The sequence below is a fragment of the Homo sapiens genome, chromosome 15 (genome assembly GCF_000001405.40).
Source record: "Homo sapiens chromosome 15, GRCh38.p14 Primary Assembly".
Classification (NCBI taxonomy): Eukaryota; Metazoa; Chordata; class Mammalia; order Primates; family Hominidae; genus Homo; species Homo sapiens.
In genome coordinates, this window is record NC_000015.10 from 101,155,969 (window position 1) to 101,178,996 (window position 23,028).

General features: G+C 48.5%; 1 protein-coding gene and 2 long non-coding RNA genes across 8 annotated transcripts in view, besides 6 other annotated features; 2 read left to right on the forward strand and 1 right to left on the reverse strand.

The window, feature by feature from the left end:
* Positions 1,159 to 1,258: an enhancer, noted in NCBI's record as "active region_10188". NCBI's record gives its function as "activates an Ori minimal core promoter by ATAC-STARR-seq in GM12878 lymphoblastoid cells {active_cell/tissue: GM12878}" and the evidence as "EXISTENCE:reporter gene assay evidence [ECO:0000049][PMID:35858748]".
* Positions 6,985 to 8,822, forward strand: LOC124903565 (uncharacterized). 2 transcript variants are annotated; one of them, XR_007064782.1, is made up of 2 exons: positions 6,985 to 7,294; positions 8,251 to 8,822. It is a non-coding gene; the product is annotated as an uncharacterized LOC124903565 (long non-coding RNA). The 2 variants fall into 2 exon arrangements; XR_007064781.1 differs by having other exon boundaries at positions 6,985 to 7,152.
* Positions 11,413 to 11,938: an enhancer, noted in NCBI's record as "H3K4me1 hESC enhancer chr15:101707586-101708111 (GRCh37/hg19 assembly coordinates)". NCBI's record gives its function as "activates a minimal SCP1, AML or CMV promoter by ChIP-STARR-seq in naive H9 embryonic stem cells {active_cell/tissue: H9 hESC(naive)}" and the evidence as "EXISTENCE:reporter gene assay evidence [ECO:0000049][PMID:30033119]".
* On the forward strand, positions 12,396 to 14,853 carry LOC124903564 (uncharacterized). The gene is made up of 2 exons (XR_007064780.1): positions 12,396 to 12,678; positions 13,055 to 14,853. It is a non-coding gene; the product is annotated as an uncharacterized LOC124903564 (long non-coding RNA).
* Positions 12,634 to 12,703: an enhancer, noted in NCBI's record as "active region_10189". NCBI's record gives its function as "activates an Ori minimal core promoter by ATAC-STARR-seq in GM12878 lymphoblastoid cells {active_cell/tissue: GM12878}" and the evidence as "EXISTENCE:reporter gene assay evidence [ECO:0000049][PMID:35858748]".
* Positions 13,326 to 13,830: an enhancer, noted in NCBI's record as "H3K4me1 hESC enhancer chr15:101709499-101710003 (GRCh37/hg19 assembly coordinates)". NCBI's record gives its function as "activates a minimal SCP1, AML or CMV promoter by ChIP-STARR-seq in primed H9 embryonic stem cells {active_cell/tissue: H9 hESC(primed)}" and the evidence as "EXISTENCE:reporter gene assay evidence [ECO:0000049][PMID:30033119]".
* Positions 16,568 to 17,454: an enhancer, noted in NCBI's record as "H3K27ac-H3K4me1 hESC enhancer chr15:101712741-101713627 (GRCh37/hg19 assembly coordinates)". NCBI's record gives its function as "activates a minimal SCP1, AML or CMV promoter by ChIP-STARR-seq in primed H9 embryonic stem cells {active_cell/tissue: H9 hESC(primed)}" and the evidence as "EXISTENCE:reporter gene assay evidence [ECO:0000049][PMID:30033119]".
* Positions 18,343 to 19,229: an enhancer, noted in NCBI's record as "H3K4me1 hESC enhancer chr15:101714516-101715402 (GRCh37/hg19 assembly coordinates)". NCBI's record gives its function as "activates a minimal SCP1, AML or CMV promoter by ChIP-STARR-seq in naive H9 embryonic stem cells {active_cell/tissue: H9 hESC(naive)}" and the evidence as "EXISTENCE:reporter gene assay evidence [ECO:0000049][PMID:30033119]".
* The window catches only part of CHSY1 (chondroitin sulfate synthase 1), a 76,322-nt gene continuing 73,052 nt past the window's right edge, over positions 19,759 to 23,028 (reverse strand). For all 5 annotated transcript variants that reach the window (NM_014918.5, XM_011521364.3, XM_047432240.1 and 2 more), the window contains one exon: positions 19,759 to 23,012. In NM_014918.5, the coding sequence (NP_055733.2) occupies positions 21,420 to 23,012 (1,593 nt within the window). In that variant the 3' untranslated portion in view covers positions 19,759 to 21,419. The remainder of the gene's footprint in view (positions 23,013 to 23,028) is intronic.

Consider the following 23,028-nt stretch of genomic DNA (forward strand, 5'->3'; position numbering starts at 1 on the left):
CAACAACAACAAAGCTGGGCTTTTTAAATGTGTTTCTGTGGACTTTCCTCCCCTCTGACACGTCCCAGTGCCTGACCACTGTTTTCCTCTTACCTCACAATAAAGTCTTGAAGAAGGTGCAAGACCAAGAAATAGAATAATGTGAATATGTGTTTGCGGGGCCAGGTGAGACAAAGGGGAGAAGGGAGGGTGGAAATCAGCAGGGGGGAGGAGGTGGGAGCCGGAGTCAGTCATCAGGTGAGCAGCATGGAGGTGGGTGGGGGACCTGGCAGGGCCACGGGTGGATTCTCCAGTGACCTGGGCCTGCAGACTACCCACTGCCCGACAGTCTTGGACACCTGGAGGGGGCTGGGGTAAAGGCAAGACCTTGCCCCTAATTGAGGGTACCAGAACCAACAAACCGGGGAATTTCTTGGGAGTCTCCCTAAGAAGAAAGGACATGTGGCCACTATTAGACGCTCACATATCTGTGGTCAAAACCTCTGGCCAACAGCAGGTGGGTTCACTGGAAAAGACAGTTAAAGTGGGCATCGTAAAATAAAACCTCTGATAGTGTAAAGCTTTTAACTGGAAACACACTTAGTGCCTACACGTGGAGGTAGGTTTGAGGCCCAGGAATGCTGGGAAGGAGCCACTCCGCGGGACTCCACATCAGCATTTTTGCATAAATCATTTCCGTAATGTCTATTCACGACTTCCAGCTTGCTTCTCTTTAAGGCGGAACCAGAATTTAAAGACTCGTGTGACGCGAGCAACCTGAGGCTCCCCTGGGACTGGGCTTCCCCGGACTTGCACAGCTGTCTTGCCGCCATCTGATCTGACAATGATTTTTGTAAAATGACTCAGCTTGAGAAAGGTTTCCAAGGCATTCACTTATATGTCTTAGAAACACCAATTCATTCTTATTACCCTCATATCTCATTGGTTTACACTAAATTTAATTAGATGACATCACTATTATAGCAAGTGCAACGGGCAAGAGCAAGCTTAGGAGTAAACCCACGGACCGTCGGGGGTGGCTCGGCGTGCTCTGCAGGTGAGCTGGTGAAGAAGTGTTTGTCACGGCCTGTGCACAGCTGTACAGGTTACCAAACGAGGATTGCTCTCAATAACAACTTTCGATAAATTTAAATCTTACCATTGTTCTTTGTTTGTTTGTTTTTCTTTTTTGAGACGGAGTCTCACTCTGTCTCCCAGGCTGGAGTGCAGTGGCGTGATCTCAGCTCACTGCAACCTCCGCCTCTTGGGTTCAAACGATTCTCCTGCCTCAGCCTCCCGAGTAGCTGGGACTACAGGTGCCCGCCACCACGCCCGGCTAAGTTTTTGTATTTTTAATAGATACAGGGTTTCACCATGTTAGCCAGGATAGTCTCGATCTCCTGACCTCGTGATCCATCCGCCTCAGCTTCCCAAAGTGCTGGGATTACAGGCGTGAGCCACCGCGCCCAGCCTGGTTTTTGTTTTGTTTTTGTTTGTTTGTTTGTCTTTTAAAGCAAACCACATAAAAGGATTTACACCAAAAAGTCAGTCTCTCCCATCCATGGCCCAGTTCCTTTCCCAAAGGCACTCAACCGCAGCCACGGGTTCCATGCAGACCGTGTAGAGAATCATAGATGTCAACACCACCTTAGCATGGTGTCGTAAGTATTTTTTCTGAAGCCATTCCTTGCTTGGAGGAGAAGGGAGCATTTTATTTTCTGCTTCTCCACGGGGTTCCCCCAGCATCCTGAGATCACCTCCAATGCTGTGCTGGCATCTGATACAGTTCTGGGTTTCCCATGAGACCAGGAGTCCTGGGGGCAGCAGCTTGGTCTTATCCATCTTTGTTCCCCAGCTCCAAGCACAAGGAAGGTGCTCAGGAGGGGGCAGCACTGGAGGGAGCCAGGCATGTGGGTAACCGGGGTGAAATGAGGGGTGCTAGCCCCCCAGGTCCCCAGAGGCGTGGGGACTCCTTAGCATCAGCACCAAGTATGGCCCAGAGCCTGGTGCAGCAAGGGCTCAGGCACGGGGACTCCCCAGCGCCAAGTGTGGCCCAGTGCCTGGCGCTGCGAGGGCTCAGGCTGAGGCCCCCAGGCCTTATGACCCTGCTCTCCACCAGCCAGGGAGAGAGGAAGGCCCTGAGGTGACCCAGACTGGAAAATGCAGCATTGATCCAGCCCCGAGTGCGAGGCTCTCTCCCCAACGATCCCATTCATTTTTCCCAACTATAAAGCATAGCTCTTTCCATTTCACAGCTGGGGAAACTGAGGCTCAGAGAAAAGCGCTTGTTCAAGACTCCCCACATACGACCAGGTCTGCCGAGAGTGCACGCTCCTCCCCACCCCGCAAAATGCCACTGGACGTGAAATGAACAAAGTCAAGTTCACAGTTGGCAGGCATCCGCACCCGCCTGGGACCAGGCCTCTGGGACCGGGCCGTTCTGCTGCTTGGAACTATTCCTCCCATTGTTCAGCCTCGTCCCCACTGCTGGAACCCACTGAGCCTCACTCAGTCCTCTGACCCTCACCCAGAAAATGGGGACGCAGTTGTTGAGATGAGATGAAGCAATACTGTGAAAGCGCTTAGAGTAGTGCCTGATTCCGACCAAGCCCTCTCTAAGGTGAGCTGTTGATTCGGCATCAGCTTCACACCTTCTGAGCATCTCTCCCAGGCTGAGCTCCAGAGTCTGTGGCAGTTCGAAGCTGCGGAAGTGGCCCTGAGAGCACAGCTGGGGAACCGGGACATGCATGTACCCAAAACTAACATGGCAACGACTGAGTAACGCGGGGCACGCAACTTCCTGTGTGATACCTGGGTGTGCGAAACACTTGTTTTTCAAATAAACATTTCTAAACTTTAAAAAATCTGTCTTGGACTGAGCAAATAGTACCAGAACGCATTTCCTCAGTGTAAGCCCAGCGCCACACAAGTATAGGGAGTGGGTCTCCCCGCACTGCCCCTTCTCCGCCCTCCTAGAAGCGGTGCTGTTCACAGCTGTCTGCTTTTCCATCCACACACCCCTCCCCAGCTGTGAGCCAGTTCAGCCTCAGTCATGTCCATGGTCACACGGGAACTGGGGGCTGATTTTTTCTGTGCAGTTTGGGAAGGGTCTGCGTCTTTGTCCACTGCAGCTGCCACTCCAGGGCTGTGCCACAGGCGAAGGGATCCAGCATTTGGGTACATCGTGCACGCCCCCTCTTGGCCCGCAAACTGAGGCACCACGCTTGCACACTGAACAACACCCCTGAGCAATGCCCAGCCCCTTCCCCTGTCTCAAGTGTCTCAATTCCAGGGCCAGCCATTCCCCTACACCCCCCACAAAGCATGCATCCTGTTCTCTGTTCCAGTGATCCAACCCCCCACTCACCACCCCACCAAGAGACTGAACCACCAGGGCCAGTGGCTCCCCATGGACACCCGGAGGCGGCTTCCCCTTCCTGGGCTGGGGGTGGAAAACCCTCTAGAGAGATCACAGCTGCAAAAGAATAAAGCCACACACTCAAAACCAACAACAAGGAAACACCAAGTCATTTTTTCCATCGCCACTCACCTTTTCACACTCTGTCTCTGGAAGCCCCTGTGGATCCCTGTGCTCCTTAGCCGGGGCTGGGCCTGTGCCCAAGGCTGCCCCGGAGGTGTGGGTGGAGGGTGTTGTCTTGGGCTGCCCCAGGGACCTCGGTCAGGGGCTGGGCAGGGAAGGGGATGCTGGATGTCTTCCTGGGCAGTTCATATCAGCTGCCACAGGATAAGCTTTCTCAGAGTGTTAAAAGAACACTCTAACACACAAGCTACACACAGAAGTGTATAGTACAGAGGTTCCCAAAGGGCACAGCGGGCAGGACGTTGGAGATCAGAGCACCTGGAAAGCCCCCTTCTCACCCCCTGACTACTGGGGCTCCCTAGAGGGAGCAGCTCTTCAGGCCAGATATAAAACAGAAAAGCGCAGATCTGAGCTTGACAGGACGAAAATTGGAAGGACAGACAGTTGGATGCATGGAGAGTTGGAACTGGGAAGAGGGATTTGCATTAGTCAGAATGTTTTCTGTTACCAGTGACAGAAACCCAATTCAGACCAGCTTAGGTGGAAAAAAAGAGGGTTGGGGTATGTTGTGGAATCTCTCGGCGTGTGCACCTGAAATATCCCGGGGTCGGCTGGTTTCAGGTATGGCTGGATCCAGGACTCAAGCAATGATCTCAGTCTCTCTCTCTCTCTCTCTCTCTCTCTCTCACTCACATTCTCTCTTCACTTTCCTTATCTTGACTTAGCTCTCATTTGTGCGTTGACCTTTCATGTCTTCCTGCAGATGGGTCATGCTATCAAGGAAGAGACCACCAGTAGCCCAGGCTTACATCATCCCAGCTCGGTAATCCAAGCAGAAAGAGACATTTTTCTAATAGCCACATAAAGACCTGATTGGCTTGGATCACAGGCCTACCCCTTGAGGCAACCCCTGACACTAGGGTGACGAGAGCACTAGCTCCGGGCAAGCCAGGCTCATGTGCCAGTGACGTGGCCAGGAGAGAATGGGACCATGACCCACAGTCCCACCAGAACTATTGCTGGAGATGGAGGAGGGTGGTTTTGTGCAGACGAGAAAAAGTCAGTCTGCTACAGCAATCCAAGCTGATGGTATGGAGTAAACAAAAGCCCAGAGATGGGAACAGCCAGCCAGGGCAAAGCATTCTTGCTGGGAGAAGCAGGAAATGAGAGGGAAGGTGGGTCAGGCCACCCACAGAGGGTCCCGGACACCCCACAGACAGCTCATCCTCTCCATCCACCACTCTCTCACTTTCTGTCAAAATCACCTCTGGATACAACTCAACAACAACAACAAAATAAACATCCCAACTCAAAAGTGAGCAAAGGACTTGAATAGACATTTCTCCAAAGAAGATATACAAATGGCCAATAAGCACATGAAAAGATGCTTAAATCACTAATCATTAGGGAAATGCAAATTAAAACCATCTGAGATACCACTTTTCACTCAGTAGGATGGCTATTACGAGAACAAAAAAGGAAATAACCAGTGCTGGTGAGGATGTAGAGAAATTAGAACGCCTGTGCACTGCTGGTGGAAATGTGAAACGGTGTAGCCACTGTGGAAAACAGTACGGCATTTCCTCAATAAAATCAAAATAAAATTACTATGTGATCCTGGTCAGGCGTGGCTTATGTCTGTAATCCCAGGACTTTGGGAGGCCGAGGCGGGTGGATCACTTGAGGTCAGGAGTTCGAGACCAGCCTGGCCAACATGGTGAAACCTTGTCTCTACCAAAATATACAAAAATTAGCTGGGCATGTGCGCCCCTGTAGTCCCAGCTACTCGGGAGGCTGAGGTGGGAGAATTGCTTGAACCCAGAAGGCGGAGGTCGCAGTGAGATGAGATCTCACCACTGCACTCCAGCCTGGGTAACGAAGTAAGACCTTTTCTAAAAAAAAAAAAAAAGAAAAAAGGAAAAATTACCATGTGATCAAGCAATTTTCCTTCTGGATATATGCCCAAAAGAAATGAAAGCAGGATCTCACAATAGGCAAAAGGTGGAAGCAATATGCATATAATATAATATTATTCAGCCTTAAGAAGAAAAAGATTCTGACATAAGCTATCACATGGATGAACCTTGAGGACATTACGCTAAGCAAAATAAGCCAGGCACAAAAGGACAAATCCTATATGATTCCACTTGTGTGAGGTACCTGGAATAGTCAAATTTGTAGGGACAAAGTAGAATGGCGTTGTCAGGAGCTGGGAGCAGGGAGAACGGGGAGTTATTATTTAGTGGGTGTGGAGTTTCAATTTTGCTAAATGAAACAGTTCTCGGTGGTGATGGTGGCACAACAACGTGAACGCAGTTGTCTGAGTCAGCTTGGGCTGCTGTGACAAATAACATAGACCCAATGGCTTAAACAAAAGACACTTATCTTCTCACAGTTCTGGAGCCTGGAAGTCCGAGATCACAGTACCAGCATGGCTAGGGGCTGATGGCGGTTCTCTTCCTGACTTGCAGACAGCAGCCTTCCTGCCTTGTGCTCATGTGGACTTCCCTCAGTGCAAGCACGTGGAGAAATCTGATTTCCTCTTCCTATAAGGATCTAATCCCATCATGAGGGCTCCACTCCCAAGACGTCAACCAAACCTAATCACCTCCCAAAGATCCCACCTCCAAAACCCATCATATTCAGAGTCAGGGCTTGAACACGAATTTGGCGGCGAGACCGTCTGTAACAGAACTTAATGTCACTGAAGTACACACTTAAAAATGGTTATGATGGTACATTTCATGTTATGTATATTTTACCACAATTTAAAGAAAAACTATACAGGTAAAAAAAAAAACAATCACCTGCGGAGTGAGTTAAAGATTCAGGTCCTTGGGTTCCGTCATAGGGATCTGATGACTGGCTCTGAGCTGCAACTTGGGAGGGGCTGATCTTTTAGAGCTACAGGCAAATCCAAGACACAATACAGCTTGAGAAGTACACTTTAGGCACCAGGGAGCCATGGAAGGTTTTCAGCAGGGCGGTGGCTGGATGCAAGTTGAGGGTGATACGATGGTGTGCAGAAGAGGTTCTAAAACTGTCCTGTCCACACGGATAAGAGAGGAAAGGTGGGGAAAAGAAGGGAGCAAGTTATGGCGGGGCTGGGGTGAACAATCCCCAGAGCAGCACTGAACAGAAACCCGCTGACCTCAAGGTCATGGCCAGCCAGGCCAGCAGCCCCCTCTTAATGAAAGGGGAGCGAGCACCTTCCAGCTGGCTCTCCCAGAGCCACCCTGACAGAGGTGTCTTGCAGCAGGACCATCTGCAGACACAAAAAGAGCAGCTTCTTCCGCTGGAGGAAACCAGCAGGCATCACTGGGGCCCGGCCAGGGACAGAATCCAAGTTTCGGAGCAACCAGCAGGGACAAAGCCATCTGCAGTGTCTCAGCCAACACCTGCCAGGAGGGAAACAAGAAACCCTCACTGGGAACTGCACGGCTCTGCTCCCAGCCCTCTGGCCACTGAGGACCACTTATCATTCAAGGGGACAGACCCTACGGGGAGGAGCAGAGCTGGGGCCCTCCGGAGGCCAGCCTCTCAAGAGCCATTTCTGGTGCTACCGGAGGAGCGAGGCCCTGTTCTGATCCGGAGACACTGCAGCGTCTATAGAAGGAAGAGGCCTTTGCCAGGTGAGATAAAGAGGTCAGTTTCTCCTGGGGCCTCTCTCTGCTGTCTAAACACTTGCCAAGGCACCAAACCGGCTCTATCTAGAATGATAAGGAAGTGTGTGAACTCCAAGCCCCAAGGACAGGCACCCTCTTCCCCTCCAAGGTGAGTCCAGCCAGGTGGCAGTTGGATGCAACCAGAGAATGGTAGCAGAGGCAGGGGGCAGGGCAGGGCATCTTCTCTGCCACATAGAGAACATCAGATGGTGGCAGGGGCAGATGGGAGTTTATGTTGGCTCTTGGGTCCCACTGCCAACAAAGTGATCACTTGGAAGAATGATTTCAGAAGGCCGATGTCTGTGCACTTAGTGGCAGTCTTCAGCCTCAGAGGTGCCCCTGAGGGTCCCTGCCTCCAGAAGGCCACTCCCAGAATGGCACCTGTCCAGGCCTCCACTGTTTATCTCCAGATAATCTTAGGTTTCCTTTTCTGTCCCCATTATCGTGCTGTTTGTAAAAACCTTAAACAGTACTGTTATGGATTAAATTGTGTCCAATCCCCTCCCCAATTCATAAGTTGGAGTCCTAACCCCCAGTACCTCAGAATGTGACCTTATTTAGAAATACAGTCATTGCAGATGTAGTTAGTTAGGCTAAGATGAGGTCATGCTGGAATAGAGTGGGCCCTAATACAACATGACAATTGTCCTTATGAAACCACCTTTGCAAAATTATGACCGAGACAGTGAAAGATCTAACTCAATCAACTCCACTTGCTTCTAACCTCCAAGCTGTCCTTGTTCATTCTTGGGCATAGGCTGAGCTAACTTTGGGAGAAACTTAGTTTATAGTTTATAGTTTGAAACAAAGATGATGGTAGCCTTTCCCCAAAGCAGACCTCCTTCTTGCCTGGGGACTAGATTGCCTTTGTAGGACTAACATTAGTCAAAAGATTAGAAATTATGGTTTAGGAGTCATGCAGCTGGAGGCTACAAGATTCCCATCCTCCCTAAACTGCCCCTAAGATCAGTGCTTGAGATATTTTGCTGACCCTGCACTGGATGGATCAGCTGGCACCACCCAGATCGATAAACTGGCTCATCGGATCTTGTGGCTCCCACCCAGGAACTGACTCAGCGCAAGAAGACAGCTCGGACTCCATTTGATTTCATCCCTGATCAGTCGGCACTCCCGGCTCACTGGCTTCCCTCCACCCACCAAGTTATTCTTAAAACCTCTGCTCCCTGAATGCTCGGGGAGACCGATTTAATAATAAAACTCCAGGCTCTTGCACAGCTGGCTCTGCATGAATTACTCTTTCTCTATTGCAATTCCCCTGTCTTGATGAATTGGCTCCATCTAGGCAGTGGACAAGGTGAACCCACTGGGAGATTACACTTACACAAAGCGGAAATTTGGACACAGAGACATGAGTCAAAGGAAGACAATGTGAAGACACAGAAGATGGCCCTTTGCAAGCCAAGGAGAAAGGCCTGGAACAGACCTTGAAGACCCTGGCTTGCAGACCTTCCCTCACAGCCTCAGAAGGAGCCCACCCTGCTGACACCTTGATTTTGGACTTCCAGCCCCAGAACTATGAGACAGTGTATTTCTGTTGTTTAAGCCATAGGTACCCAGCCTTTGTACTGTTTTCAGCAGCTCTAAATCCCCTCTATTAAATGCCTTAGTGCTGAAAATGCCTGAAGTGGTCTTTTTTTTTTTTTTTTTTTGAGACGGAGTCTCACTCTGTCACCCAGGCTGGAGTGCAGTGGCAGGATCTCGGCTCACTGCAAGCTCCACCTCCCAGGTTCACGCCATTCTCCTGCCTCAGCCTCCAGAGTAGCTGGGACTACAGGCACCCACCACCAAGCCCAGCTAATTTTTTTAGTGGAGACAGGGTTTCACTATGTTAGGATGGTCTCGATCTCCTGACCTCGTGATCCACCTGCCTCGGCCTCCCAAAGTGCTGGGATTATAGGCGTGAGCCACCGTGCCCGGCCATGAAGTGGTTTTCATTTCCCTCCCTAGATCCTGAGTGATAGAAATAATTTGGTAAGTCTTATTTCAGACCTTTCTGCAGAGAACTTAAACACCATTTGTTAGTTCCCTATTTAAGACTATAAAATTGACACCTATTCATTGTGAAACATTTGGAGTTACTTAAGAGTATACAAAAGAAAATAATCACTTAGCATTTTTGAGGTTTTTCCATTCAGTCTTTTCTCTGTGGATCTCTGTAAATATATATATTCTCTTCTAAGCTGGGATCATAATGTGAATACAGTTTTATAACTTGCTTTTTATTCTTTTTACTATGTGAGCATTTTCCCATATTGTAGAATTGTCTTCAGGAAGACAAGTTTGAATGAATACAGAATATTGTACTATAGTTCAGTTTATGTTTTAACTCATTTCTTTTGTGAGGTAGCTCATAAATATAAAAGAGGCCATTAACATATGTACAGTTTAAACAATAATTATAACATGAACACCAGGTAAAGAAACAGAACAGGCCAGGAACAGTGGCTCATGCCTGTAATCCCAGCATTTTGGGAGGTTAAGACAGGAGGATTGCTTGAAGCCAAGAGTTTGATACCAGCGTGGGCAGCATAGTGAGACCCCATCTCTACAAAACAGTTTTAAAGTCTGGCCAGGTGTGGTGGCTCATGCCTGTAATCCCATCATTTTGGGAGGCCAGGCAGGTGGAACACCTGAGGTCAGGAGTCCTAGACCAGCCTGGCCAACATGGTGAAGCCCTGTCCCTACTAAAAATACAAAAATTAGCCAGGCGTGGTGGCAGGTGCCTGTAACCCCAACTACTCAGGAGGCTGAGGCAGGAGAATCTCTTGAAACTGGAAAGCAGAGGTTGTCTTTGACTATTTTTATCAGAGCTGTTTTAAAGTTCTTATCTGCTAATTTGACCTCCTGGTTCATCTCAAGGTTTACTTCTATTGCCTGATTTTTCTCTTGACTATATGTTACAGTTCCCTGTTTCTTCACATGCCTGCTGATAAAAAGTTAATAGTCTTGCATGGCAGCCAGACAACCAGCAGATCTTGGCAAGAAGTGCTAGAATTTACAGGGTTTGATGCAGAGTCCAGAGTGAGGACGGGAAGCTATGACTAAAACTCTGCCCAAGGCACTAAGAAAGGCTTGACTAAGAAGGAATTCTGAACATCATAGATGATCTGTTGTATAAGCTCTGGATTATGTTATCTTCCTCTGAAGAGTACCGATTTTTGTTAAATTCCTAACTAATCATCTTGATTTTTGTGGAGGCTTGGTTTTCACACTTTATTAGGGAAGGTCTGTTTTGTTTTTGCCATTGGTCTTAGATAAATATAAGACCTAGTCTTTGTTCCTAATATATAACCCTCTTGGGGTTTCAGTGGAAATCCAAAGGTGTTTATGAAGCCCCATATAACTTAGTGGGACTCTAACTCCAAACTCTGACTTTCTTGCTATGGGAAATCTCTGATTGGCTTTTTCCAGCCCCCCAGCAATTACTTTCTTCTGGGTTCCTTGAAGTCTCCCCCAGGCAAACATGGTTAGGAGTTAATTGAGACTGAGAAGGGGGTTAATATGCAGACTTGGGAGTCCCACCCTTTAGTCTCCCTTCTTTTTGGGATTTCCCTCCTCCACTTCCAGCTACTCTGGCAGCTCTAAACCCCATCCTACAAGATCTCAAGCCAATAATAATGGAACTTTTTGAGTTCTAACTCCTAAGTGCTGTGGCCTAGAAAGTGCCCTTCAGGAAGGGGCCGTATAAGTAACATGCATCTCACCCAATGCAGTTCCTTTTTATCAAGCATGAAATTCTCTCCAGTTTCTACCTGATCTTTGTTATTCTCCAGGGCCTTCAAATAGTTGTTTCTTTTTGTCCTGGTGGTTGCTACTTTGTCCATAGTTTATCATTGCTATCTGTGGGAGGAGTAGTCTGATATGAGCTACTCCACAATTCCTGAAACTAGAATCTTCTGAATACTGTGTATTTTGAAGAAAAACGATTTTACTGCATCTATATTGAATAGTGTGTTTATGGAATCTTAAAAAAGCCAAACTTTTAAAAGGCAGAGAAAAATTAAACAGGTAAACTATTTACGAGCTTTACAGTAAAACATCCTATTCACAGAGCTGCCATTTCTTGGTACCCTACCAGCAGTCTAAATTGAGGATCTTAAATCTCTCTGGCACTGCATTTCCCCTCTCCCGCCAACATGGATTTTGGAATAAGGCTGATCTGGTATGAATTTTGGATCTGCCATTTATTGGCTCCATGACCTTGGGCACGTCACCTGAGCTCCCTGACCTTCCAGTCCTCATCTGTAAACTGAGGTCAAGAATTCTGATCTCACAGAGACGGGGGAGCAGTAAATGAAGTAACTTATATGAAGTCCCTGGCACTTAGTAATGGTTCGTAAATATTAACTTTATGATTCAAGAGTGAAAGCATTCCGTGTCTGTGAAGTCAGGTTCTTGTTCTTACATTGAAAGCTATTTGATTGTTTTCACCTAAAAACTGAATGTCCCAGGCTGTCTTTATAGAAATATCTAATTTTAGCTGTTATTTTCCTTTGGCAAACCCAGCTGAGAGGCTAGAACAGAAGTGAAGGGGAACTAATCTTGGCTGCACACCATAACCTACCAGACCCCAGGGGGGGCCACAAAGCTGGGTGTGCATGGGCTTGGCCAGCCTGGTGGGGCAGCAGGCACCCAGTAGATCAAGACACAGTCCCCAGCTGGGAGTGAGATCCAATCATGGCAGGTGGAAAGGGGCCCGGGCTGAGGGTTGGGGGAGGCACGGCTAAAACCCTGCCTAACATGCCCAGAGAGAAGGTCACATTGCCCCCGAATCAGGAAGTGCGCCCAGGGCAGTGAGGGCCGGGCATTCCAGGCACAGGAAGCCCCGGGGGAAAAGCGTGGCTTCCAAGAAGTGATTGCCTGGCTTCCTCTTCAGGAGGAGGAGGGAGTGACTGGGGGGCTGTGGTGATGGGGCGGGGGCTGTGGAGAACAGATGAAGTCAGAAATACAGGCGATGCCGATCAAGAAGAGCCTCAGCCCAGTTAAGCCGGGAAGCCTGGGCCTGAACCGGTTCAGTCTAAGCAGGAGAGCCCAGATAAGATTTGTTTTTCTTTTTTATTTAAGGAAGAGGCTGGACTGGAGGAGCAGGAAATGGGCAGGGCATGCCCTGTAAATGCAGCTTTGTCAAGAGATGAGGGGGTGGGAGGAGCATCCTAGGACCTTATCTAGGAGGGTTTGTGGGACCTGGTGACTCACGGGATGTGGGTCTGGAAGGAGTTCTGAGCAGCTGATGCTACCAGGTGGGGAGATAGTGGGGAGGTGACACCAAACTGAAATGAAGTGACAGGAGGAGGGCCAGCTTCTGTCAATTCTCTCATCAGTCTTGGGAGTTACTGGTAACTATGCCCATCTTGCAGAGGAGGAAGCTGAGCTCTGGCACATGGAACTTGTCCAAGGTCACACAGCTGCAGGCACACTGGCACAGGGCCTGGCCAACCGTCTGTGGAGTTGATCCAAACCAATGCTGTGCTGGTAAGTCCAATTTAAAAGAAAAAAAAGCCTGCTTTGAAGCATGTGCCATTTCTTGTGGTGTAAATACTCCCACCTCAGCCAATTTCAGTGGCCAGCATGATGTCACTGAATGTGGGGCTGGGGATCCATTTTCATGAGTCCCTAGCTGGCTTCAGACCACCACTGACTCCAACTCAGGCCAGCCTGGTTCTGAGGCCCCTTCTCCTTCCACAGTGCCAAGCACACAGCTCACAACTAATCTGGGTCTTGGTATTTGTATTCACTGCCCTTTACCCTAGTCTCTCATGGGTTTTACATATAGGTTGGTGTGTACAGTGGGATACAGGAAAATATCAGACAGTATAACAGAATCACTCTCTCTCACTCTGCCCCCAAGCCCAGGCCTGCCCTGTCACTTCAGGATGTACAATTCAGTTAATTCTTCTGGAGCCATATTCAAGCATCAAGACTCCTGCAGAGGGACATTCTGCCGGGGGCTCACACGAATCACTGCAGCACGGTTGGATTTGGTTTTAGTGCTCACTGAGGTGGCTGCAGCTTGGCGAAACCCTGACATTAGCCATAGCAGCTACCTGCTCACCATTCAGAAGCCAAACACAGTGAGGTCTTGTCCCAAATAGGAATTGTGTTTCTGATGTCAAAATCTGCAAATGGATTCAATTTGCACAGCAGCTGTCCTCAAAGTTGGCAATTCGACGTCCTCTCAGACAATTCATTTTAAGACAATGTGCAGTGTTTTAGTCCCAAACCTACAAAAGTCCATATGCATCCCATTTTCTCCCAAATCCTGTGGCCTGTGGATATTTTCCTTCTAACTTGAAACTGACTGCTGTGGAGGCAGAAGAAAGGCAGATCCATGAGGCCAGGAAAGGCGGGCGAGCGGAGCCGCGTGCGGACAGGGCCCTTGTGTGGGTGAAAAGGGACAGGGCACCGGGGCAAAACGGAGCCATTCTGTGACAAACTCACCTCCCAAAGCCACTCAGGGTGGTTGGCTGCAACAGCAGCGACTCAGAGGGAAAGGCCACTGCACCAGCCCTCAGCTCAGGGGGAAGGCGGTGAGATGACACCACAGGGCATTAAGCCAGGGCCCCAGATCAGGTGTGACGTGGAAACCAAGCATGCTTCAGGGAAGGCCTGGCAGCAGAGACCCGACTTCTGGGCAGGCAGAGCAGTCAAGGCTGCCCAGCAGCTGCTGGTGGACCCTGGGAAACCAGCTGGGGCTGCACAGGGCCATCCTCTCCCGCTGAGCTGATGGAACACGTATGTCACCTCCTCCTGAGGATGCGGCCCAGATGGTGAGTGCGCTGACACCCGCCTTCGAGAAGCCGGGCTGCTGAGTTCCTGCTGGAAGGCACATCCTCTTGGTAGAAAGGCCCATCCCCAAATCTAATTTTAAAGAAGGCCCATGAATCATTATCCTAACTGCTCATTACCCAGGGGCTGTGTGGGGAGCTGCCTCAGACCTTTGGGCTGCTCTAGCCCTGGGGAAGCCAGGAAGGCATGTATTGTTAACAACTGCTCTCCTCCAGCCCACGACCCTCTCTCAGAAACCCCCAGCTCACTGCTGCTGCCCTTTCTGCCACGAGATGTGCCGCGTCTTCCCTTCATCACCTGATGCTCCTACAAAAGTGCTCATTCACAGCGTCCCCAGGCCCCTGGACTCCAGGCCACCCCACAGCCAAACATTATCTTCAGATCTAATAACATGCCGTGCCTTCCAAGTAGCACAGAAACCATATAATGATAAATCATAACCAATATATATTTTCTATATGACATTATATAAAATATAATATCAATCTTCAAAACTTGCCTAGAACATAGGTAAAGGTGGTTAGTAATTCCATCTATGCATATCCAAATGTATTCCCATCTGTTTGCAAATGTATACTTTTCCCACTAGGAAATCACTCCTGGCTGCCCAAACGGAGGCCCGGTGCCTCTGGTCATGTCCACATCTCGTCCAGCGCTTCTGCTGCCTCACCAAGTCTGGAAAGAGCTGCTCTTATCTCAGGCTACCCACTTCCACTCCGCGCCCCTGCCTGTCCCATCTCTTGGAATGAGCGCCAGCTTCCTGGGAGTGGAGTGTACCTCTTTCCCAAACAGGCCCTCTGTCTGGAACGCGCCTCTTCTCACTCCCTGAGTCATCAATAAATCTGTCTCACTTTGTCCTGACTCAAGCTTTGCAGTCATAGAGTTGGGTCTGCGGAGTTGCCATTTTCACAGGATGAGGGATCCAAGACACTGTGCAATATTCTCACAGGATGAGGGATCCAAGACACTGTGCAATATTCTCACAGTATTTCTTAAAGGTCATTTCACTTTTCGGGCTTATTTTTAAAAAGGTTTTATTGGAACTAGCTAGTAGGTTCAAAATGTCAACGTTGACCAAATAAAACAAAATGCCAGACGACTTAGTGTTATGTCAGAAATGGCCAAGTCCCAAAGTCCCTCAGCCCTGGAAGAGGATGATCCAAAGTACGAAAAGGGTGAAGTGGAAAGATGCTCCCTGCATCCTGTGACTCAGGATGGAACCACGGGACGCTGGAGATGGCCAGCAGGAGGGAGACGCCCAATTGTAGGAGAGAAGGCAGCCTTCCCGGGCAGTCTCACAGGACCAATGTGTTTTAAATGGATGGAAAAAAAGCAAGATGTCAAATTGTATGGTACGTGCACCCTACATCAAACGGTACCTACCACAGCCCCTGACGGGAACTCGGCAGAGTGGGAACAGGGTGGTACAGAGGAAGGGCCTGGTCTTTCCTTTCCCTTCTCTGCTTCCCTGTATGGGTATCCTCTGCTGCAGTTACATTGTTATTTACCACGGAAGAAATAGAATCCGTTCAAAAATCCAAACTGCAGGCCGGGTGCAGTGGCTCATGCCTGTAATCCCAGCACTTTCGGAGGTTGAGGCAGATCCATCACTTGAGGCCAGGAGTTCAAGACCAGCCCGGCCAACATAGTGAAACCCCATCTCTATCCCGTAGAGGGTTTCAACATAGTGAAACCTCATCTCATTTTCATAAAAATATGAAAAATTAACCTGGAGTGGTGGCACATGCCTGTGGTCCCAGCTACTTGGGAGGCTGAGGCACGAGAATCGCCTGATCCTGGGAGGTGGAGGTTGCAGTGAGCCGAGATTGCACCACTGCACTCCAGCCTGGGCAACAGAGGGAGACTCTCTCTAGAAAAAAACAAAAACAAAAACAAAACAAAAAACCCCCAACAATATCCAAAATGCTTCCTTCACAACACTAATGGGATCATTTGAAAGTGCACTTTTAGAAATGATTCGTTTCTAGCTTCAGACCTCGGGGTGTGCCCAGGGCTTCTGAGGCTATAAATGAGATTCCCCTTTCTGAGCTTTTGCCTAAAACTCAACCCAAACTTAATTCAGAATGAATGAATCTGAAGGTAGCCCTAAGGCTTGGCTAGAAGCATTTCTTTTCTCCAGTAGGGTCACACGTGGAGCAGCGAGCGAGGCATGCGGAGGGCTGTGGCGTGAACCAAGGGGATGAGTCGTGGCAAGCTGGCGAGGGGAAGGGGGCAGCGGCAGCCTGGGAGCATCGCCGACTTAATTGTGATGGAGAGAAATTCATTACAGATAAGCCAGCTTCATTTAAGCATTTTCCAGAGCTTGCCCAACCACTTTGCTATTAAGTGATTTGATCAATTTCTTATTATATTTTCTCATTAAAAAGCGGTCAGGCATAACCGACTACTCTTACAGTTTTAAAGGAAATGTAGCTAGAATGTTCTTTAAAGGACATTTCATTTTTGCCTGTATTAGTAAGAAATGAAGACCCTCATCACTGAAACATCATGAATGGTAAATTAAACATATGAAGAAATATCTGACAAAAGACATTAAGTGGTTTAACTGCACTGATGACAAGCCAGCCCCTAATCTGTTTGACGCGATCGTTTCCGGTGAAAATCTACACCCCCTCCCTCACCCCTACACCCCTGCAGAAAACCAAACCGAACTCTGAAGCATCTGCTTTCTACTGGAAGCCATTCGAAATGAGTTACTGTAATTTGATCCATTGCATTGTAACCTTTACATTATCGTTGCATTTATAACAAGTTAGACTAAGAAGATTTGGTGCAAGCATTTTCATTTCAAGCAGGACAGAAGGGGCCATCTTTCAAGGGTTTAGCAAGCACAGCGGGGCCCACCGCGGCAGGTAGCAGCCCTGTGCAGCCGCTTGAGCTGACAGACCACCCCGCCTCCAGCTGAAGCACATAAGCTCCTTTGCAGCAGAGATTACAGCAAGTTATACGGCAGTAATGCAGCCTAATTCCCCAGGGCGGGCGTCTGTGCAGGCACAGGGAGGGCTGGCCCTTGGCTTCCTCCGTGATGAGGGCACAAGAGGAAACCTTGCCACCTGGGGCCTGGCAGAGCAGGCGCCCCTCAGTGCAGTAGGCAGGTGTGTCACCTTCCTGGAGGATGGGTCTTGAGAAACGAGACCCTAACAGCAGGGAGAATGCCTCTGAAAGCCGCTGGTTCCCATAACCTAAGTGTTGTCCTTACGAGATGGAGTGTGGTGCTGGCAACTCACTAGTGTGTACATTTGACTCGGTGAACACACTGAGTAGTGAATGGAGGTGGCTGCAGGAACACCCAGACCTCTAGGTGATCCTTCAAGTGCATGGCAAGGAGGCAAATATGACAATCATTTTGCTCAGGTCAACTGCTATGTAGATGGCCAGTGAGCGCTCTGAGCCTGCTGGGCTGGGGGGAAAGAAACCCGTGTCCACTTCTGGGCTCAGTCAGGGCCTAGGCTTTGATGCCTTTGTGAAATAGCAGGGAGGGGCTCAGACACTTTGCCTATAGGAATCAATAACTCATCAGCAGGGCCATGAAGGCGTGTTGGGGCTGGGGCGGGAATAAGATGAGACATCCGAGGGTCAGAGTTCCTTCCATTATCTGAACTGTCAAAGGGCCCAAGCTGTGAGTTTACAAGCGCCCTCCTCCCTGGCCCTCACATCCCGGAGTGGAGGGAATGTTCCACCTTGGCTCCTGAGGCCTGCCTGCTTTTGCAGCAAAGAGGGACCGTCTCATGACCTTGTGACACGTGGCGTCTCCACAGAAGGCCTTGGGATGCTAGGTCCACATCCACGCTCCGGTCTCATCCCAGCCCAGAACAGCAGTGCAGGGAAGTTGACCCACCTTCTGGAAGCAAGCTGCAGGTTCCCCTAGTCTGCCAGTGCTGTCTGCCCCATAAGGCTCTCCTGGTTCCATTCCATGCAGGGTCCCTGGCATCCAACCACAAAGCCGGGATCCCACTGGCAACCTCTCCCCACACACTTCACTGGGTCATGAAGCCACATCCATCTTCTGCCCTGAGGCTCCCCGCCAGGGTCCTCATGCCCAAGAGAGAAGGAATTCCCTCATTTGTGTGCAAAGTTCAAAAATGTTGTCTATGCATCTATGCCTACAGCTCTGCCTTCCTGGCCAGGACAAACTTGGTGGCCGTTTGTGGGAAGTCCTGAGCTGGTGCTGGGAGGAAGGAGGGAGGTTCCCCTTCATGCTTTTGTGATTGTACCCTTCTCCTCTTCTTCAGCCATATTACACGGCACGATTTTAACATACTGTCCACAGGAGTCACAAAGCAGGAAGCCACAGTGGAAGGGTTAAGCAGGAAGCCTCCAGAGATTCAGGGGGAAGGGATCAGTTCCAGGCCCAGCAGGGGCTGCAGGTCTCAGCCTGTGCACTGGCAGGAGTACTCAGTGCGGAGGATGGGAGGGCACGCCTTTGGCAGGAGGCACATGTGGAGAGGGCGCTCGAGGGAGTAGGGCAGTGTGGTTCCCAACACGCCAGGGGACGGGCGGGAACAAGAGCCCCAGGCCTCCTTGAGGGGCTCTAGTGAGACAGATACTGCCACATGGTCACAGAAGGAGGCCCAGCTGTGTCACATCCCACAGAAGGGTCCAGGGTGGCAGCGGAGCGGACAGTGGGGTGTTTTAGCTGCGTCCTGGGAAACAGTCAGGTTGTCCAGAGGGAGGGAAAGTGTGTGGCAGGGCCGCAGACACGGATGCCCCCACGACTTGGGGCGCAGCGGCTGGAGGAGGTGCCCTGTGGAACGGGGGATGATAGACGCAGGGACAGCAGCCAGGCTGAGGAGGGCCCGGGTGCCTGTGGAACTGCCGAGTCCACCCTCTGGGCAAAAGAACAGCACCAGGTGACGGAGGAGAGTGGAACCTGGAGGCCAGCACGCGGAGTGCAGACACGCCACTGCCAGGGCGGGGAGCTAGAGGGGTCCGGCCGCGTTTCTGGAAACGGAGCCTGGAAGGGAGGCAGTACTTCCATGAACACCAACACTGCTATCAGGAAGAGGGACAGACCTGATCAGGAGTGGGAGCAGGGAAGGAAATGGCAGGTTTCACCAAGGGTCATTGAAATTCTGGACGCACACTCAAACGTGTCACTCACACCACGTCCCAAATCCCCCCAGTTTGTCACTATGGTAAATAGGAAAGCGTTTATAATACTTTGTCATGAAGATGCATATTATGCTCTTCCTTATCGAAGAATAAAAATGTCTCTGCTTTTTCTCCAAGAAAAAACTAAACACTCCCACAGAGTAAATGGCAATTAGGCTGAATTACGGCAATTCTTGCTGTGAGCGCAATGTCATTATGCTGGGACTTAACTGTCATTACACTGTAAATATACCTATCCCGGGGGCAATGCTTGCCCACACGAGCTTGCTACCTTGGCATCAAAGATCTCACTTCTTTTGACTCTTGGGTTATATTGCAACTGTGCTGATTTATCCTCTAACTAGATTGATCCTGGAACCCCAAGTTGTGCCACAGCCCCACGCCAGGCAGTTGTTAAAATGCAGGTTCTATGGGGCCTGGGAGGGGACATTTCTATCCAGGAGCCAGACGCGGCCCAGGCCCGGTTTGAAGACCTTTGTTTTGAAGAACGTGGGGTCAGCGAGTTGATGAGGAACAAGGACGAGCTCATCTGAGGAAAAAACGGAAGGAAGCACTTGAAACCGGGTTTCGTTTCACTCCCAAGCTGCGGTCCACAGAAGCATTTCCCTCAAATAACTTGAAAAACTTTATGAATCGTGTTTAAGTTTTTTACTCTCCAAATGTAATACAATTCTTCAGCTAAAACAGGAATAATGAGACAAAATGGTTCGAAAAGTACAATAGAAAAATATTGTTCACTGGTTTATTTTTCCAAATGAGCATCAGGCTATTTACAAATACGCAGCCCTCCAATGACGTGTATTAAAATGGCAAGTCTATCACTGTTTGAAATCTAAATGAAAACAAATTTATTAAGGCACATTTGATCTGAGAATTTAACTTTCTGGTATAATGACAGATTCATTTCACTTTTGTCCCCAAAACACATGAGCACCAAAATTGTCAAAGAACACTTAATATTTAGTAAAACAGTAAGGAATATAAAAATTAAGGAGGGGAAAAAGCGTTTCCAAAAGGAAATCTTTGGAGATCGGTTTACTGCAAATAAAACAGACTAAACACACTCCCGATACACATAAATAATACTAACTAACAGGTACTCAAGAAATGGCAGAGCTCTGAACAACAGATATTAAATAAATTAAAGGTATTTCAGATACAAAGGATAAAACAAAACAGTAATGAAAGAATGAAAACCATCTCCACCCACATAACACAGACAGGATGAAAGGAACAAAACCAAATACATTTTTCCCCAACGTTTTGATTAGGGTGTATGTGTGTATGTTTCAGTCTGTGTACATCAGATTTATTGTAATAATTCATCTTTGTCATTCTAAACATTAATATTTTACCCTTTAAAGAGAAGGGTCAAGAAGAGAAAATGCCAAATCCTTCTTGAAATTTAATGCCAGGTCTATTTAGGCCGAATGAACTACCACGAGAACAGCCACATACCTCACTGTGCCTTCTTCACGCCCCTTGCTTTAAAACCTACGTGGCCAGCTGGGCTTGCATGGTGAAACCCCGTCTCTACTAAAAATACAAAAAAACTAGCTGGGCGTGGTGGTGTGTGCCTGTAATCCCAGCTACTCGGGAGGCAAAGGCAGGGGAATTGCTTGAACCAGGGAAGTGGAGGTTAAAGTGAGCCAAGATTGCGCCACTGCATTCCAGCCTGGGTAACAGAGTGAGACTCCGTCTCAAAAAAAGAACAAAACAAAACAAACAAAAAACCTACGTGGCCATGCTGAGCAGAGTACCATGAGAGGAAATGATCAACTCTGGAAAGCTCTCCTGAAGACAATGATGAAACAGCTATTATCACATTTCCTTATCTTACAACTGGAACATGAAATGGCTTTAAAACAATTGTAAAAAAAAAAAACAAAACACAAAAGGTAGAATCTGTGGAATGTTAACAATCACAACAGAACATTTACCAGAGTTACAGTGTTTTGTTACAATAATACTTTGCAGGAATGTTCACGTTTTCTGCCATAGGACTGGAGCAAAGGGTCTCAAAAGAAAACATTTTTTTAAAAAAGTTTTGTTCATCAGGTACATTTCAAGTCAAAGTTAAGCAGGTCTGCTACATAATGTTCAGCAAGAAGATGTGTTCAAAGGCAAACACTGATCACCTTCTTGTTCAGAAAGCTCAATCTTAAAGGAGTCCTATGTAAGAAAACCACTTGTAAAATATATCCTTGTATACGGACTTCAAAAACTGATCATACAAAAAATTTTTGAAAAATAAATTAGATAATTAAAAACGTCTTTTCCAGCAAAGCTGGACATTAGGCTGTCCTCACTGAGCCATTATTATTGCTGCTTTTACTGTAACTTGGATCATTTTTTTCCAGCCACATCTCAGCCAGCTGCTGGGTGGACCCATAGGTCGATGCTTTGGACCCCAAGCACATTTTGTACTGTTTGGGGTCAAGATTGGGATCACAAAAGACAGGATGGTGGACGTGGACTACTCCTACTTCCTGGCTCCTAAACGTCTTCAAACCTGCCTGGACAACCTTGTTGAAAAGGTCCACATCCTCCAGCCCCCAGCCTTGGATGGAAACATCAAAGCCACCCACTCGGACAAGATCTCCCTTATAAATACACGTGATGCCAAACCCATAGTTTCTCCAGAAGCCAGTTTTCTGAGTAAAGGCAAAATGGTTGTCACTGGGAACTTTCCCACTATAAACAATCTTTGGGTCATACTGGCTGAAGATGATTGGAAAATATATTTGTTGGCCCAGAACTGTATTTGCTCGACATCGCTGAAGGAATTCTGTAGTAAACACGAGGTCGACGTCGCAGAAGAAGAGCAAAGATTCATTGTTAAACTGGGAGGATCCTACTTCCAGGGCCAGGGCTCTTGAAAACTCTCCAGACACAGGCAAAATCTGCATGTCGGCTTTAGGGTACTTAATGCGGTAATCTCTCATCAGTTCAACTTGTTTGGCCTTGTCAGGGTTGGAGTCAGAATTGAAAAGCAGAACCACGAGCTTGACGTTCTGATTGGGGATAAGACACGTCTTCTCAAAGTTTCCCATAAATCTCACAAACATGTCGAAACGCCCAGACAAAGGAATCAGTATGTTTATCTTTTTATCTTTGGGTTCTTTGTGCTCACTCTTCGACCCAGGGAGCTGAAAGGGGACGAGCTTCTTCAGGGAGTTTGAGAGAAAGGACAAGGATCCAGATTCCTGATTGATTCTCTTGGCCAACTCTTGTGCATCCAGCTCCTCATGCTCCACAAACTGGATTTTGCTGAAAGTCTGCTGTAAATACGCGTGCCTCCTCACAGGGACCGTCATTTTCTTCCCTTTGTGCTTTTTGTACAGAAGCAGCAGGTCCAGGATGTACTCAGCCCCATACATGGGGTTCACCCGGCGGTAGCCGTACTGGATCTCTTTGAAGTCAATGATGCGCCCTCTGGTCTTGGCGTTGGCATTGATCATCTCCATGACCTGCATGACAATGTCGTCCAAGGCTTCCCTCTGGGCGGAGTCCATTCCTCTTCGAGGGGGCTGGCCGTCAACTGCCGAATACAAGTATTTTCCAGTCAGAAACTCCCATTCCAGAATCTCCTCTCGCTGGCGGGGCTGAAACCTCATGAAGGAGGGAGGGATTCCCAGCTGGAGGTCCTCTTTATGAATTTCTGTGTTGCTGTATTTGCTCATCAGGACAATTTCGCGGTGCAGCTGTATTGTGCGATGGCGGAGCTCGGATATCTTGCGGCTCAGCATGTAGCTGTGGAGCCTGTACTGGTAGGGTGGGTTTTTGTTGGGGTGTAATGTGATAGCTTGGTGAATTTTACTGTTATGGAGATCTCTAATGTACCCCTTTTTGTTCTGCTCGTAATTCTCATAAAAAAGCTGCTGCATCTGTTACAGGAAAAAA